General features: G+C 45.8%; 1 annotated feature.

The window, feature by feature from the left end:
• Window positions 234-283: an enhancer, noted in NCBI's record as "active region_23471". NCBI's record gives its function as "activates an Ori minimal core promoter by ATAC-STARR-seq in GM12878 lymphoblastoid cells {active_cell/tissue: GM12878}" and the evidence as "EXISTENCE:reporter gene assay evidence [ECO:0000049][PMID:35858748]".

Genomic DNA, 1,788 nt, shown 5'->3' on the forward strand with positions numbered 1-1,788 from the left:
CACACTGTAAGGGGCTAGTCATGAGCCGGCGTCAGCTTTGTTAGTAGCCTTGTCCAACTGATGACTATATTTGCATTTGTGGTCAACTAAAAATTCCTCCACACCTCTGAGAATTGCATTTGGCTGCATGCCATAGAAACCTGATCGTGGTGGCTTATCATAATAGCTAAGAGATTTATTTTTCTCAAATCCAGAGATAGGCAGTCCAAGGCTGGTGCAGGGGCTTAAGAACTGGCATCAGGGACTCGGCTCTTTCTAGACTGCTCTCTATCCTTAGCATGTGGCTTTCATCCTCAAGGTCACAAGATGTCTTAGTTTGGGTTCCCCCAGAAGGAGCTCCTGAGAAACGGATTCACATGCAAATAGTTTATTTGGGAAGTGATCCCAGGAAGGTAGGGAAATGGGGAAGTGAGACAGGCAAAGTAAGAAAGCCTACACAGGATGTGTTAATGAGTGGGTTACTGCTGTGGGCAACCAGTGTTCAGTCCCGCTGGGGACCTCAGGGAGCTCTCTCTGCCCCAGGTGTATGTAGCTCATGCCTCAGTTGTCCCACCTCAAGGCCAAAGAGCTGGGATATTTATCCACCAACTACCATCTGTCATTAGTTAAAGGCTGCTCCCAGGGTCACTAACCCCCACTTTCAGACTGCATTCTACAGGCTCAGCATGATTCTGTAGCTAGCAAAAGGCCTCGGGTAGAGAAAAGGAGTTTTCAACAGGAAGCCTGTGGTAAATAGAATGGTGACTGTCAACGAATAATGGGCAGAGCACTGACAGCACCTGCTACATAGGACGACTGTTTTACCTCCAGTATCGTGTCTGCATTCCAGACAGGGAGAAGGGTAGAAGGTCAAAGGACAAAGGACACAGCAGCTGAGTTTGTACCTTTTTATCGAGAAAGTGATAGCTTTCCCGAAGCCTCAACCAACTTCTGCTATGCAGCGGCCAGAACTAGGAGACATGGCTACCTGCTGTAACTAAGAAAGCTTGCGGAGAGGAGCGTGTTTATTTTTAACTGGACACATTGTCCCAAAGTTTGGGCTTCTGTAATTAAGAAAGGAGGAAAAATGGAGGTTGTGGGTAACAAGCAGTGTGTGACAAGGTCAGCTTCACATGAATGACAGGAGCAAAACGTGGTTCTGTGGTGGATAAAATTGCAAACCATGTTCCTTGAAGATGATCACATACATGAACAAAACAAGAATCAGAAGCAGTAAGTGCTAGGCTAAATCTTCAAGTCATCATTTCTGTTGTCTCCAGTACACGTAGCTCAAACCGCAGACAGGTTATCAGATTCTGCTGGGGCATAGTTGGCTTTTCTTAACCTATTTATTCATGAACAGGTATTTGCTGACACCTGCTATGTGCCAAGTGTTCTTCCATGAGCCAGGGACTCCACAGTGACAGAGTGACTGGCAGTGTATATCTATTCACTGGGGTCAGAAAACCCCCTTCGAAAAGGGCATTGTGCTGAGACCCAAATTATGAGGACCCAGACATTCAAAAGTTAGGAGGGGTACTCCAGGCAGAGGAAAGAGCAATGGCAAGGTCGGCCTTTTGGAGGAACAGAAGAAGTAGGCCAGTGTGTCTAGTGAAGGGAGACAGTCACAGAAGCAGGCAGGGGGGCAAAAATATGGTAAGAAGATTTCAAAGCTCCTTTTGGCTGGCCCCAGAAATACATTTCTTAGAAGAAATGCTAGAAGTACCTAATTTGGAACAGAAGATTTACATATTTGGTGGGGAAAGTTTGATCATTCAAAGAGTACTCTTAGTTTTTATTCCTAAAGTC

This window comes from Homo sapiens, chromosome 5 (genome assembly GCF_000001405.40).
Source record: "Homo sapiens chromosome 5, GRCh38.p14 Primary Assembly".
NCBI lineage: Eukaryota > Metazoa > Chordata > Mammalia > Primates > Hominidae > Homo > Homo sapiens.